Source organism: Homo sapiens, chromosome 21, assembly GCF_000001405.40.
Source record: "Homo sapiens chromosome 21, GRCh38.p14 Primary Assembly".
NCBI lineage: Eukaryota > Metazoa > Chordata > Mammalia > Primates > Hominidae > Homo > Homo sapiens.
The window spans coordinates 35,023,334-35,037,184 of NC_000021.9; the positions used below are offsets into that span (position 1 = coordinate 35,023,334).

Sequence of the window (13,851 nt, forward strand, 5' to 3'; positions counted from 1 at the left end):
AGTCTTGTGAGATGATGCAAACAGAAACTACTCGAAGCCCATATGTCATTGCTGTAGGAAAAGCAGGCAGATTTTCACCTGCAAGCATTTCCCTTCTCCTCTGTCACTCTCTCCCTGTCCCAGGTGGGTGGGTGGATCAGACTGAGGCTGCAGCTCATGGCAGGGGGCTGGACTGTGGATGACTGTCTCCTCCCTAGCCGGGAGGCCAGAGGCACTCAGGTGGTTCAAGTTGACCTGCGGGGCTAGCAGGGCAGAGTAGGGCTTCCCTGCACTTTGGTCTCCAGCCCTGCCTCATTGAGGCCAATGGTTTGCTTTCTCTCCTGGCTAGTCTCCAGCTGTGAATGCATCTGGATAAAGACAGGACTGGAGCCTGAGGGTGGGAAATGAAAGGGGGGCACAGGAATCCAGTCAACATTGCCTGATTTACAGGAGTGACGGCTCACAAGTGGGTACACAATTGAGGATGGGTGGAAGTGAGAATAAGGAGAGCATCTGTGGGTACCAGTTTTATGGTGTCACAGACTTCTTTTGTAAAAATAATAAACACATAAATTAAATATTAGGTGAAATATATTTTATTATATATGTGTGTATTAAATTATTATATATTTTACTATATTTATATAGTTTACATATATACTATATACTAATTATAAATATATATCAACATATTAAATAAATACAAATCAATAAACAAATAAATATTTAGCCTGGCACATATCTGCACAGCAAAAGACTGTATTTCCCAGCCTACTTTACAGCTAGGTGCCTCCATATGTTTGTTTACGTTCTGGTCAATGATTTGTCAGCAGGAGTGTCTGGGCAAATTTCAGATCCTGCTCTTCAAGGGAAAGAGTAGATCTTCCCCTTCCATATTCTCTCTTGCTGCTGGCTGGAATGTGGATGTGATGTTGGGGGCTGGAGCACCCATTTTGAGCCATGAGGTAAATGCCAGGCATTGCAGAAGGCAGCCCATCAGGGTAGCAGAAACCTGGTTCTTTGTGATTGTGAAGATGCCATGCCAATCTACTGAGACTTCTACAAGAGAGAGAAACACACTTCTATCTTGTTTAAGCCCTGATAATTTGGAATCTCTCTCTCATAGCAACCTAACCAATACCCTAATACAACACAATGTCTTTATGTGTGTGCTATTAGTAATCAGAGCATGTCTGTGGTAAAAGTAGACCTCTGGGCATTCTTCAAAAGACTTAGAACTGACTTTTAACTCACTTTCTGCATCCCATCCTTTTAACTTCTCAGAAAGTGAGGATCAGTTATATAGTTAGGTTCCTGCCCTGAAAGTACTACAGTATGACAGCACCAGGCTTTTATTTTCTTTTTAACTAGGTGTGACTAATTTGGAGATTACTTTTTAAACATACACCTAAGATGTTGTAGCTAATACTGCCTCTTCCATCCTAGTCACTTTGCAACTTGACATTCTTTTCTAGTGATGATGAAATTCTCAGCATCCAGTTAGAATTCATACAATGGTGCATATGCTTTAGAATAGCCTCAATGTCTGGAATATAAGTGATGGGTCTGATTTTTAGAAACAGCCAGAAGGCATTTAAGATCAAGACTGGTGACAAATAAGGTGACCAAGGAAGCTTGACAATACCTGTCTTGTTCAAAAATGAGGTGTGATTTAAAAGTAAGGAGGATTTACTTGTTTAGCCAATAAACTAACTCTGAAAGTCATTTCAAAAAAGCAGATCCGAAGATGTTTAAAGTAATAATGGTGCTGTTAGAATGGTGCTCCCTCTCCCTCCCAGGGGATGACTTTGAAGGACACTACAATAACAGATGTGTAAATTCTGAAATATATGGCTAAAATGAGGTTTATTATTTTCTAGTCACCACTTAGACATCTTTTAGTCATTTGTTTATGACAGTTTATAAATGAGAAAGAAGTCCATTTAAAATATCTCCATGAGGACCTCAAGGTAAATAATAGGAATCGATCATTCATCAATCTGGCCTGGCCCCGGCCCACTGAAGAAAGTTCCTTCTTGAGTGCATTCAAAGCTCTCATGGTCCAGCCCTGTTCAACCTGAGCAGCATCCTATCTGCTCCTCCCCCAGACGTTCCGATGCCCTGCACCAGATTCAAGAGAGAGCCAAGTTCCCCAACAGGCTATGCACGTGGCTATTAACACCCAGCACACGCTATCCCTGGCCAGCTCTCTCCTTCTTCCCTAAGAATTAAACATTCTTTGGCCTGAGTTTTCCTCCTTTATGTCACCATAAAGTTGAGTTATTCATTATTAGGGTCTATACATGAGTAGCCAAAATATACGGGTCTCTATATTTAGGTCAAGGGGCCTTCAGCAGGAGAACATGAATAATTAGGAGTGAGGCCATGAGACAGAGGAAGAAAAGCTCATAGGAATGGGAAGACAGCCTCTCAGATGAGAGGTGTGCGGAGTGATTGCTGTGAGGAATTGCTCAATAGGAAAGTTAGCCAACCTGAGGACGTTTCTAGGGGAGGAAAAGGGAAACTCATATGGTTCTCTGCTAATTCTTAAAAATAAGGTAGATTCTTACTCATCTAGGGTGCTTGCTCGTTATGAACACAGGAAGATTAAGGAATGAGTATGGACTGTTTCTACTCTATGTTTTCGGACAAGAAGAATAATAAAAAAGCACTGGGTAGCTGGAACAACTGCAGAGGCCCCAACAATGATGGAGACTTTCTGGTGCACCGTGGCACAGGGGTCTCTTCCAAAGGGACTCAATCAACCCCAACAGGCATCATCTTCTGTGACTCAAGATGTCCTTTTTAGGAGTGCTTGTACTTTTTAATGCTCAGAGAAGTTCGTATTACTGATTCGGGAACACTGAGTTTTTCAGCTCCTGTAAAACTATTTTCAGGTTTATTTTCAAGTACATTCTTTACCTCGGGGGGTCAAATCTTTTGGTTTCCAGTGAATATCGTGGTTATACCTGTGGTTACCCACTGACTTCTCATCTGCCTAGCTTATCTGATAACAGGCAAATGGGGAAAGAGGCTTTAATACCCCTCAAAAGGGGAAGATTGATAATTAGTTATTCACCGCATAGAATCAGGCCAGGTCAACTCTCTCCAAGAAGAAAAGCAATCTGGATATTGCACTTTGGGGTCCCTTTTCATTTTGGCATTACAGGCCTCATGAGGATGTAGTCTTTCTGTATTTCTTTCTTTCTTTTTAAATTGTTATTTATTTATTTATTTTAACCAGGTCAAAGCATTACATACTGCAGAAGAGAAAGCAACTTCAGCTTCTCTTAAACGGTGTCATTTTCATGACAGCTCGTAAATTTTGGCCTCCTATGGGTCCAGGATCTGCGCGCATCCGCCCGGGGACTTGTTGGTGGATCCATCCCTCATGGCGGAGCAGCAAGGGGATCCTTTAGAAAAAGCAATGGGCGAAGTAACTGAAAGAGCGACGCAGAAAGCAACAGCCAGAAACGGCGGGGACGCGAGCGGCCCAGACAGGAAGGGAGGCGGTGGCGCAGCTCTGGTGCGCAGCGCGCCGCAGCGACGGAACTTCTGCAAAAGCTGCCTGCCCGCGCGTTATCAGCGGCGCGCAGGCCTGTGGTTTTCTCGCTCTCGCAACCCTGCTTTAACTGCCGGTTTATTTTTCGACAAACAGGATGCCTCCATCTGAGGCTGTCAGCATCCCAGGCTCTTTGAAAGAAAAGAAGTAGAGCGGCCCCACCCTAGAGGCAAGGACGGGGTCTGTGTCAAGAGGCTTCCCAGAGAAGTGAAAACTCTGCAGGTGCAGCCGCTGGGAGAGCATCAAGAAGGGCAGGGTGGAGGGGCAGGGGGCGAAGGGAGGGGGTGAAGCCCGCACCCTACCCCCACATGAAACTGATTCCACTACCCCATCTCTGCAAGCGTCCAGAGGCAGAGAGGCCAACATTTCGGGGACAGCTTGGAGGCGGGAGATTTAGGCAGGGCTCCTTAAACTTTTATGTGCATGAAAATCAGGCCAATCACGGGGCTCTTGAGCAAATGGGGACGATGATTCAGCAGGTCTGGGCTGAGGCCTCAGATTCTGCACTTCTAACAAGTTCCCAGGTGGTAGTGATGCTGCCAGTCCAAAGACCACACTGTGAATAGCAAGGCGTCGTCGGGACAGTCTGCTTTAGAGTAAAACCTAATAGATGTGCAAATATTTAAACCAAGCTGTATTTATTCCTGAGGCCCTGGTTTAACTGGAGCCACCTTGCTAATGGAAAATGGAAAATGAAATTCCTTTAGGTTCCAAAGGGAAGGAAAGTTTGAAATGGTTAAGGTATTTAAAAAATCCTAGTTGGGAGTGGCCTTGGGGATTCGGGAGAGTTGAAGTTAGGTTCTGAGCCAAGAGATGGGGGAGGAAGGGTGGGATGTGGCAAATAAATATAAACACACACACACAAACCCCAGCCCAACCACAGGTTCTTTCCTATCAATGAAACATTTGCATCTTGCAGGTAGAACTCACACGTGTCCACATTTTTCAGAAGTTGAATGGTTTTGTGTAATGGTACAGAATTTGGAGCCCATATTTGAATATTCTAGATCCAATGTTATCTCAGACTGGCTTTAGGATCTTGTGGCCTACATTTAAAAATGCATGTTTCTGAGTCATGTTTAATTAGTAGTAGTATCTGAGAACTGAGAGACTAGACTAAGAAATCCATGGTATATGAATAAAATCTCCAGACAGCAGCTAGAACATAGAGGTCCCTCCAGAGGCAGTGCCAGTTGTCAGCTGTAAAAATAGGTTCTGCTCAGTTTTGCTTAGGCCTGAAGTTTCCTGAAGATTTCATTTAGACTTCATCAAAACCAGTCAAAGACTTCCTGTTACAGAAAGGTTCTTAAAGTATGGCTGGGACTACAGGGCTATTAAGATGCAGATTCTTGGGCCTCTCTGCCTCACTCATCATGGTTTCTCAGGGTGGGTGCCGGGAACCTGCATTTTAACAAACGCTTTGAGGATTCTTATGTACTGCCAAGTTTAGGAGTCCCTGGTCTGCAGGTTTAAGTTCAACCTTCTCACTGCAGCATTCAAAGACCTGGCTTCAATTTTGCTGTTCACAGGCGAGCCTCAGTGACTTCCTCACTGCCCTCTGAGCACTCCTGGAGCCACCTGGCTGCCTCATTCATTTCTTCTCCTCTGTCTTTCCCCAGCCCTGGAATAAAATGACTTCCATCTTCCTCTCCGAACTCTCTTCAGATCATGGCTTCCCACTCAGCAAGCAGTTACTTTCCTGGTCTGCCACTGCTGTGGTATTAATGATAGGCCACTCGATTCTCATTTTGTTGACTGAATATTTCTCATGCTTAGGCTTTGCCTCCCTGACCAGACAGTAAGTTCTCTGAAGCCATTTCATGCTATATAATCTTTATGTTCAAGACTACTTTCTAACGCAGTGTCATGTCCACATGGATCATTCAGTAAATTTACCGATGGCTTATCTATCACCAACATGTTTTACAGAGTGTTATTAAGCAGGGACACTCTCTATGGGTCTAGGATCAGAAGAAGCTGGGAAGAGAAATGGGGTAGTGGTGAGAGTGTCATGAGAATCTGGTTATACAGTCATCAAAGACACAGAGGAAGTGGGAAAAAGGGAGTGTAGACCCCTAGCTCATCTGTCTGCAGTGTGAATTGGAGAGGGGTTCCTTTTTGTTTAATATAGTTAATTTTCCACTTGAAATCAAGGTCACCAAACCTATGAGCCAAACGATGGATGCTTGCCCTTCACACTCACTGCCTAGTGATGGAGCTCTTGGTGGCCTCTCTCCACCATCTCTGCTCCACCATCTCTTCCACTCTGGCTGGCTTCCCTTCTTCCTTTCTGCCTGATGGGTTGTCAACTCAAATGCCCAACTCCAAGCTCAAGTTAAAGGAAATTTCAAGTGTATTACATATAATGAAGCAGACTGAAAGAACAGTAGTATACTAGTAAGTTAGCTTAACATGGTTTAGTGGAAAGCAGCCAATACACCTCAGTTCTGATCCTAACACAGCTAGCATCATTGGCCGTGTCACCTTGGTTTTCTTCTTTAGCCTTTCTGAGCTTCAAAATTTTTGTTATCTAAACTCTGAGCCTCAGTGTTTTCATTAACAGAGCCAGCATAACAATGTTGGCTTCTAAGGCATTGGGCAGGTGAGTGGGGTAGTTATGGAGACCACCTGAGAGAGCCTGGAACACGGTTGGTGCTGGCAACCTACAGGGCCCCAGCCCTTGGCGAGGTATCTTTCTGGAGAAATGCTTCCTAGTGTTCCTAGCCATTCCTTGCCTCAGGCACCTTCACTACCATCCCAATCACAGGCCTACTGCTCTTCCTGGTCCAGCTTGCTGGTCCTAGTGCTTAGCTTCTCTCTTAAGGGGATCTTTTGACCTCTGTAGGAATTTCTTCCGTCTTGGGCTTCTGGCATGGTTCTATTGGTCACCTGGCACCCTCCTCACCACTTCAGTGGTGCCCCCAACTCTGCTTCTAGGACTCTGGCAAGTCCTACAACCACGATCCTGGTAATAGTACGAGGTTGGATTTGTCAACCTTGTCACGATCACATTTCTGTTCTGCGCATTGTGGGCTGTTTGGTAGCATCTTTGGCATCTGCCTACTGGATGTTAGTACAGTCCCCTCTATCCCTTGAGTTGTGACAACTAGAAATGTCTCCAGACAGTGCCAAATGACCCCCTTCCTCCTCACACTGCCTCCTTCTTCCAGGTAAAAACCACTGGTGAGGCCGGGTGCGGTGGCTCACGCCTGTAATCCAAGCACTTTGGGAGGCCAAGGCGGGTGGATCACGAGGTTAGGAGATCGAGACTATCCTGGCTAACACGGTGAAACCATGTCTCTACTAAAAATACAAAAAATTAGCCGGGCATGGCGGTGTGCACCTGTAATCCCAGCCACTCAGGAGGCTGAGGCAGGAGGATGGCGTGAACCTGGGAGGCAGAGCTTGCAGTGAGTCGAGATCGTGCCACTGCACTCCAGCCTGAGTGACAGAGTGAGACTCTGTCTCAAAAAAAAATAAAAAATAAAAAAACCACTGGTGTAAGATATTTTAAGGTGACAAGCATGGAGAAGAAGAGAAAAGTAATGAGGAAAAACTAAACTGGCAAGATCAATAAATATGGTCTAAATAAATGAAAAAGGAGATTGACTAAATAGACCCATGGGAAATGAAACCAGGAGATAAAATGTTAAAGAAAAGTATAAAAATTGCAAAGATAAGAGGGCATTAGATCGGCTCAAAATGGATTAAAGACTTAAACCTAAAACCTGAAACTATAAAACTACTGGAAGAAAACACAGGGGAGAGGCTTCTTGCCATTGGTCTGGGCAAAGATTTTTTTGAATATGATCTCAAAGCATACGCAACAAAAGCAACAGTAGACAACTAGGATGGCTTCAAAATAAAAAGCTTTTGCACAGAAAAGGAAACATTCAACAGAATAAAGACAAAACCTACAGAAAGGGAAAGAATACTGGCAAATCATAGCATTTGATAAGGTATTAATTTCCAAACTACATAAAGAACTCAAACAACTCAATAGCAAGGAAATAAATAATGTGATTTAAAAACTGGGCAAAGGACCTGAAAAAAACATTTCTCAGAAAAAGGTACACACATGTCCAGTAAGTATAAAAAATACTCAACATCACTCCTCATCATGCAAATTAAAACCACAGTGAGCTATCACCTCACACCTGGTAGGAAAGCTTTTATCAAAAAGTTAAGAGATGGCCGGGTGCGGTGGCTCACGCCTGTAATCCCAGCACTTTGGGTGGCCATGGCAGGCAGATCACCTGAGGTCAGGAGTTCGAGACCAGCCTGACCAACATGGAGAGACCCTGTCTCTACTAAAAATACAAAATTAGCTGGGCATGGTGGCGCACACCTGTAATCCCAGCTACTCGGGAGGCTGAGGCAAGAGAATTGCTTGAACCTAAGAGGCAGACGTTGCGGTGAGCCGAGATCGTGCCACTGCACTCCAGCCTGGGCAACAAGAACGAAACTCCGTCTCAAAAAAATAGAAAAATCAAGAGATAACAAGTATTGGTGAGGTTGTGGAGAAAGGGAGCTCTTGCACACTCTTGGTGGGAAGCCATTATGGAAAACTGTATGGAGGTTCCCCCCAAAATTAAAAATAGACTACCCTATGATCCAGAAATCTTATTTCTTGATTTTTTGGTATATATCCAAAGGAAATGAAGTCAGTATGTCGAAGAGATATCTGCACTGTCATGTTCATAGTGGTACTATTCATAATAACCAAGATAAAGAATCAGCCTAAGTGTCCATCGACAGATGAATGAATAAAGAAACTGTGATGAATATATACACAATGGAGTACTATTAAGCCTTAAAAAAGATAGAAACCCTGTCATTTGCAGCAACATGGATGAACTTGGAGTACATTACACTAAATAAAATAAGGCAGGCATAGAAGAACAAACACTGCATCATCTTATGTATATGTGGAATCCTAAAAAGTTAAATCTAAAAAGACTGTACATTAAAGGTACCTACCATTGTTATCTGTCTATGGAAATATTTTTTAAAAAGAAGTTATTTATTTTGGTGGAGGATCCACTAAGGAACATTCCTGAATGGAACAAAGAATGAACCTCAACACAGATGGAATCTGTCTTAGATGTGGATGTGGCTATGGGCACAGATGGGTGCTTCTAAGTGACTGCAGGCCAAGCCTGGCTGAGAAGCATTTGGGTACAGAGGGGCTTTTGGGGAATGATCAGGGGTGATCAGGAGCACCAGCTCCTACAGATTGTTTGACACATGCCACAAGCCTTGAAATGGAAAAGGAACACACATATGTCATATCACCTCTCAACATTTCACTGAAGGAGATTTTCCCCTAAATAGAAAGATATGGAGAAAGAGTACTGAGAATAATGGGCTGGATAAGTGGGACAATCCTTGCCCTTACTGACCTTCCTGAAGTGTCGCTGAAATAGGTGGACTTAGAACTGAATGGAATCTACTCTAAGTTATTTAGCAAACCTCTTCTGTTATCCCACTAGTTACCTTTTTTGAAGAGGAAAAATAAGAGTTGAGTTTTTCCATTAAGAAAGTCTATTTAAGCTGATAAAGTGGAAAAGAGGGCATCCTTTCTGTTCTTTGATTGATGTCCTGTAAATAACCCAATGGGAAACGGACCAGACTTTATGATCAGTCCCGTGACTATGAATCCTCTTGGTCATAGACATTTGTTTTCTACACAGGTATTCAATTTAAAGCCTGAGCCAATCAGCTCATGGGCAGTAAGATGTCCCTTGACTGTGGTGTTTCTCACATGCTTCTCCTTGCACACTTGTCCAGCTTCCCACAAGGGACACCTACATGACTTCCAGCCTGGCACCTCTGGACAGAATTGGAACCACCTCCATGTTGCCTGCTCCTCTCTGCTCTAATATTCCCACATACAGCTTCTTACCCTTAGCTGATCACAGGAATTAAGGGGAACCAAGTTTGGGTGGAAATCCCAGTTACTTACTTCCTGCTGTGGTTGTATGTGAGAGGAGATCAGTGTGGCCTCTTCTGCTTACATCCACTGATGTTTTTACACTTAAGCCATAAGCACAGGACTGGTGAAGCTCCCTCCATCCATTGGTCCATCTATCTGTCTATCCATCCATCTATCCATCCATCCCTCTATCATTCATCCATCCATCTATCCATTCATTCAACTATCTATCCATCTACCTGCCTATCCATCCATTCATTTCCATTCATCCTTCTATCTATCCATCAATTTGTCCATCTGTCCATCTGCTGGCTCATTCATTCATTCATTCAACTATCTGTCCATCCATGCATTTGCCTATTCATCTATCCATCCAACATTTCTTGAGTGCCCAAATTCTGCCAGTTTCTGTTTTTGGAGAGGTAAGTGACATATGAGCCATCTCTCAAATTGCTCAGAGTCTCTGAAAGAACACACTCATAAACAGAAAAGCTGGAATTATGTTTTGGTAAGAGCAAATAAACCAGAGCAAGAAGAAGAATGTGATCCTTTGCACGAGCTACCAATGAGCATCCTAGAAGACATGGTCATCAGAGTGTCAGCCTGGAAGTATTACTGCTTCAGGGAGCAAACGCAGATGGAGTGTGTCCATCCATGTCTGTGATGGGGATGTGGGATTCCTGTTCTCTGTCCCTCTAACACCTCATGCAGACACATGTCCCAACTCTCATAACCTGTGCAATGACTTCTCTTGCTGAACAACAGCCCTGTCAGGTGCCTTTAATGACTACTACCAGAAATTTCGGGAGAAATTCAAGTTGTTCAAATAAGCATGGAGAAGTGACCTCCCAGAGAGGATTTGAAAATAACACATAGAAAAATGAAACTAAATATGCATTGGGATTTCTGAAACTTTTGACTAAATGTATTATCTATAGGTCCTTGAAATCTATCATTATCTTGTCTTTTAGGTTACTTTCCTCCTAGATTTTTAAAGTCTTCAAAGAAATACTGATGATCCCCACTAGGAAAAGAGAAGGAAAATGAGTTATTCAAAATCAGGCACTGGGAGGACTCAGAATTACAGCATTATTATTACTTCCAATAATTTTAAAAGAGTTAAGGGCTCTTTGATTACCAAATCATTATCCTACTTCCTATGTCATCTATAACTAGACACGAAGATAACTTATTTTAAGTTTATTTCACAGGACAAGAGTACCAAAGTCACACCCTCTCTAGAAGGCCTTCTCTTGAAAAATGCACAGCTTATTCGTCAGGCACCCAGACTTCAAAACCAGACTAGGATTGAGTGCAGCCCTGCCATTTCCCAGCTGTGTGACCTTGGATGAAATATTTGGCCACTCTATAGCCCAGTCATCAATCTGTAAAATTAGGGAGAGTAATTGTCTCCACTGTGTAGATAACAGAGATGGCAAGCCTTTGTTGCGCCAGCAGGCCAGAGTCATGGCTGCCTTTTCTTCTCTGCTCTTCACGTCGGGGACATGGCTGATGGTCTTAATTTCATGCCCTTGCACACTGACTGTCAGTTTTTGTGGACATCTGTAGCCAGCATTAGTAGGCTGGGGTGGGGTAGAGGTCAAATTAGGTGTGTGGGAGGCAAACATGCTAAAGAGGGTCAAACCCGCCACATCATTTTATTTCTTTGTGGGAAGCAGCAACAGTACCTCGGTTCCTAAGGTCTTTCTGGAGCTGTGGTTCTCCAAAAAACATTCCAGATTTTACCCCTCAGGGGTCATCTGGCAATGTCTGGAGATACATTTGGTTGTGGCAACATGAGGAGGGAAGGGTTGTCACTAGTGTCTAGTGGGTGTGGGCCAGGGATGCTGCTTAGCAGCCTACATACAGCACAGAGGGCAGTCCCCTCAACAGAGAATGATTCGGTTGCAAATGTCAACTGTGGCGAGGTCGGGAAACCCTGTCTGGTGTGAGCAGAGGGCAGATCCTCAGCCTCCATGATGCCTTTCACCTTGACCATGGGAGCTGAGTAATCCCAGCCACTAGCTCTCTCATTTTACCCGAGAGATGTACAGGAGGAAGATCAGGGTACAATGGCACATCAGCCAGGGCTGAGACCCCTACTCAGCCTGAGTCTGTTCCTGTTATACTCCCCACCTCATCCCAAGCATCAGCCGTTTGCTGCCAGGAGTGAACAGATCCAGTGTACAAGGATGCATTAGTGACCACGCGCACTCACTGGGATAACCCACTTGGGGTTCACTTGTTAGATTTGGTTTGGGTAGTGTGTAAGGAAGAAAATGGGAAAGTCCAGTCAAATAGTGTCCAATTTAAAATCAAATCAGGGTGGAAAGGAAAAGTCCATGATGATAGCGACCATGTATCGGGCAGCATATTCTATGTATTTCTGATTCAGTGCTCGCAACAGCTGCATGGGTAATCATCATCGTCACACTGTACAGATGAGGAAAAGGGAGAAACAGAAAGGGTGAGTAGCCTGTTCAAGGTGACTCAGCGGGAAAGGACAGAGCTGGCATTTGAACACAGGCTCTCAGACCCCACAGGCTGCACCTGTAAAACTCTCCTCCCCACACCCTGTCACATCACAGAGAGGCCAGATGGGAGTGGGAAAGCCGAAGAGAATCTGGACTCCAACCGAGTTCTGCCTCCTAGAAGCCGTGTGGCCTGGGCTGCTTTTGTAACCTGGTTTTTGCTTCATTTTATTTTTTATTTTTAGCCAGTGGGAATTAGTAGCTGTGCCTATATCGTGAGGTTTTGATTAAAAGAGACAATGGAGGCAGTGTGCCTCACACCATTGCAAGTGAATGTTATTTGTTCTCATTATTCATAAGCCACAATGAAACGGCATCATCTCATAACTTTAGTGGGTCAGCCAGAATTGTTCACGACAACAGTGCGGAGGACACGGGACAGCACTAAGGGTTCCTCCCTCTCCCTCTCGTTTGACGCGGACTCCAGATTCAGAACCCATGTGGGGCACAGGTGGGGGCTGTCCAGGCTCACTGCAGGTCTCTCTCTGCTTTCTGCTCCTTCAGGTCACGTGGTTGTGATTGAAAAGAGGAATAGAGAGATGTGATGTGGCTGTTTAAAACAACTCCAACTGCTTCCATGTAAATGATGTGTTTGATCCTAAACTGAGAGGGTTAAGGGTTGGAACTCTGGGCCTCCCCAGAGGCTGCTGTGGGTCTGGGGGCCAGGACTCCTCAGGAAGAACCCAAGTTGGGTCTGAAGGTGACAGTGGAGGCCATTATCCCTGAGGGAAGACAGAAGAGGGAGCAGGGAGCAGGTGGGCCACCGAGCCCTGGCGTGTGTGCAGAAAGTGCTAAATAAGCCGGAAGAAGCACAGCAAATCACAAGGATGCCCAGAATATAATCTCTAGTTTATAGCATGAAATTTTTACTTTCCTGTTAATTGTACATTCTGTATAAGAAAAGCAGGTTCCTTTCCTAAGGAGCTTTATGATTTTATTATATTATTATTGTTTATTGTGGAGAATAATTAGCTTGCACATCTTTTAATTTGTCCCATTAAGATGTTTGCAGAGCAGCCGTGAGAGGCTGGCCAGCCCCCTGCATTTCCATTGATCAGGGCACTCACATGGCTGGCTGTGAGCAGGCTTTGCGGGGAGAAAGTCATTTATGATTGCATCCTTCAGCATGCCGAACCCCTCCAGAAAGGGAAGGAACTTTCTGTGACTCTGAAGTAGTCTGTTGTAGAATAACCAGAGGAGAAATGCCTTTTATACAATAAAGGTGAAGGGGGAAAAGAAGGGGAAAAAAACCCCAACTTCTTGACAAAAGGAATTATCATGATGTCAGAGGACTGGTGACATGGACTTTGTGAAATGACAAATGCCTCTGCAGAAAGGCCATTCTCAAAGGCCAACCAGTAGGCGTGTGCATCTCAACTCTTGTTATGCCACTGACACTTAGTGGTATGAGGTCCTGTTTACATGAGTGACTGAGGCCACTGCTTGCTATCACAGCTGAAACAACTGCTTCTGGCTACGATTTTTATTTTAGCCTCAGGAATAAGTGGATGAGAAGTGTTTGGGGCAAGCTTCACGGAAAACCCTGGCTAGGGTCAGTCAGGGTTGGGGTGGTCCACCCCTGAAGGAGGGACTCAGGTGGCAGGCCCCTGATTGCTGGGTACATCACTCTGTGGTTTCTTCTGTACATGTGTTCCATGGCCTGGACTGGGACAGGGCAAGAGATATACCTGGGACACAAAATTCAAGGTGGTGCGCTCTCAAGCCCATGTAAATGCAAGGTCAGCCTTGTACAACAATGGGAGCAAGTGTCGCCTTAAGTTTGTCACAGGAAGTGCCTCATTTATGTCACCCTGATATCACCTTCGATGGATTCTCAGATTGAT

General features: G+C 44.4%; 1 protein-coding gene across 13 annotated transcripts in view, besides 3 other annotated features; it reads right to left on the minus strand.

Annotated features, from left to right (window-relative positions):
• RUNX1 (RUNX family transcription factor 1) overlaps positions 1 to 13,851 on the minus strand; it is a 261,502-nt gene that overhangs the window by 235,533 nt on the left and 12,118 nt on the right. The gene's annotated exons all lie outside the window — the stretch shown is intronic.
• Positions 3,339 to 3,841: an enhancer, noted in NCBI's record as "fragment RE1". NCBI's record gives its function as "enhances activity of the RUNX1 P2 promoter in K562 and Jurkat cells {active_cell/tissue: Jurkat | K562}" and the evidence as "EXISTENCE:reporter gene assay evidence [ECO:0000049][PMID:21445863]".
• Positions 3,495 to 3,639: an enhancer, noted in NCBI's record as "145 bp enhancer 44 fragment used in the MPRA reporter construct; PK_construct_4135". NCBI's record gives its function as "activates an SV40 promoter by MPRA in K562 cells {active_cell/tissue: K562}" and the evidence as "EXISTENCE:reporter gene assay evidence [ECO:0000049][PMID:23512712]".
• Positions 3,558 to 3,575: a transcriptional cis regulatory region, noted in NCBI's record as "GATA motif; MPRA enhancer activity is reduced when this motif is scrambled". NCBI's record gives its function as "necessary for full MPRA enhancer 44 activity {active_cell/tissue: K562}" and the evidence as "EXISTENCE:site-directed mutagenesis evidence [ECO:0005528][PMID:23512712]".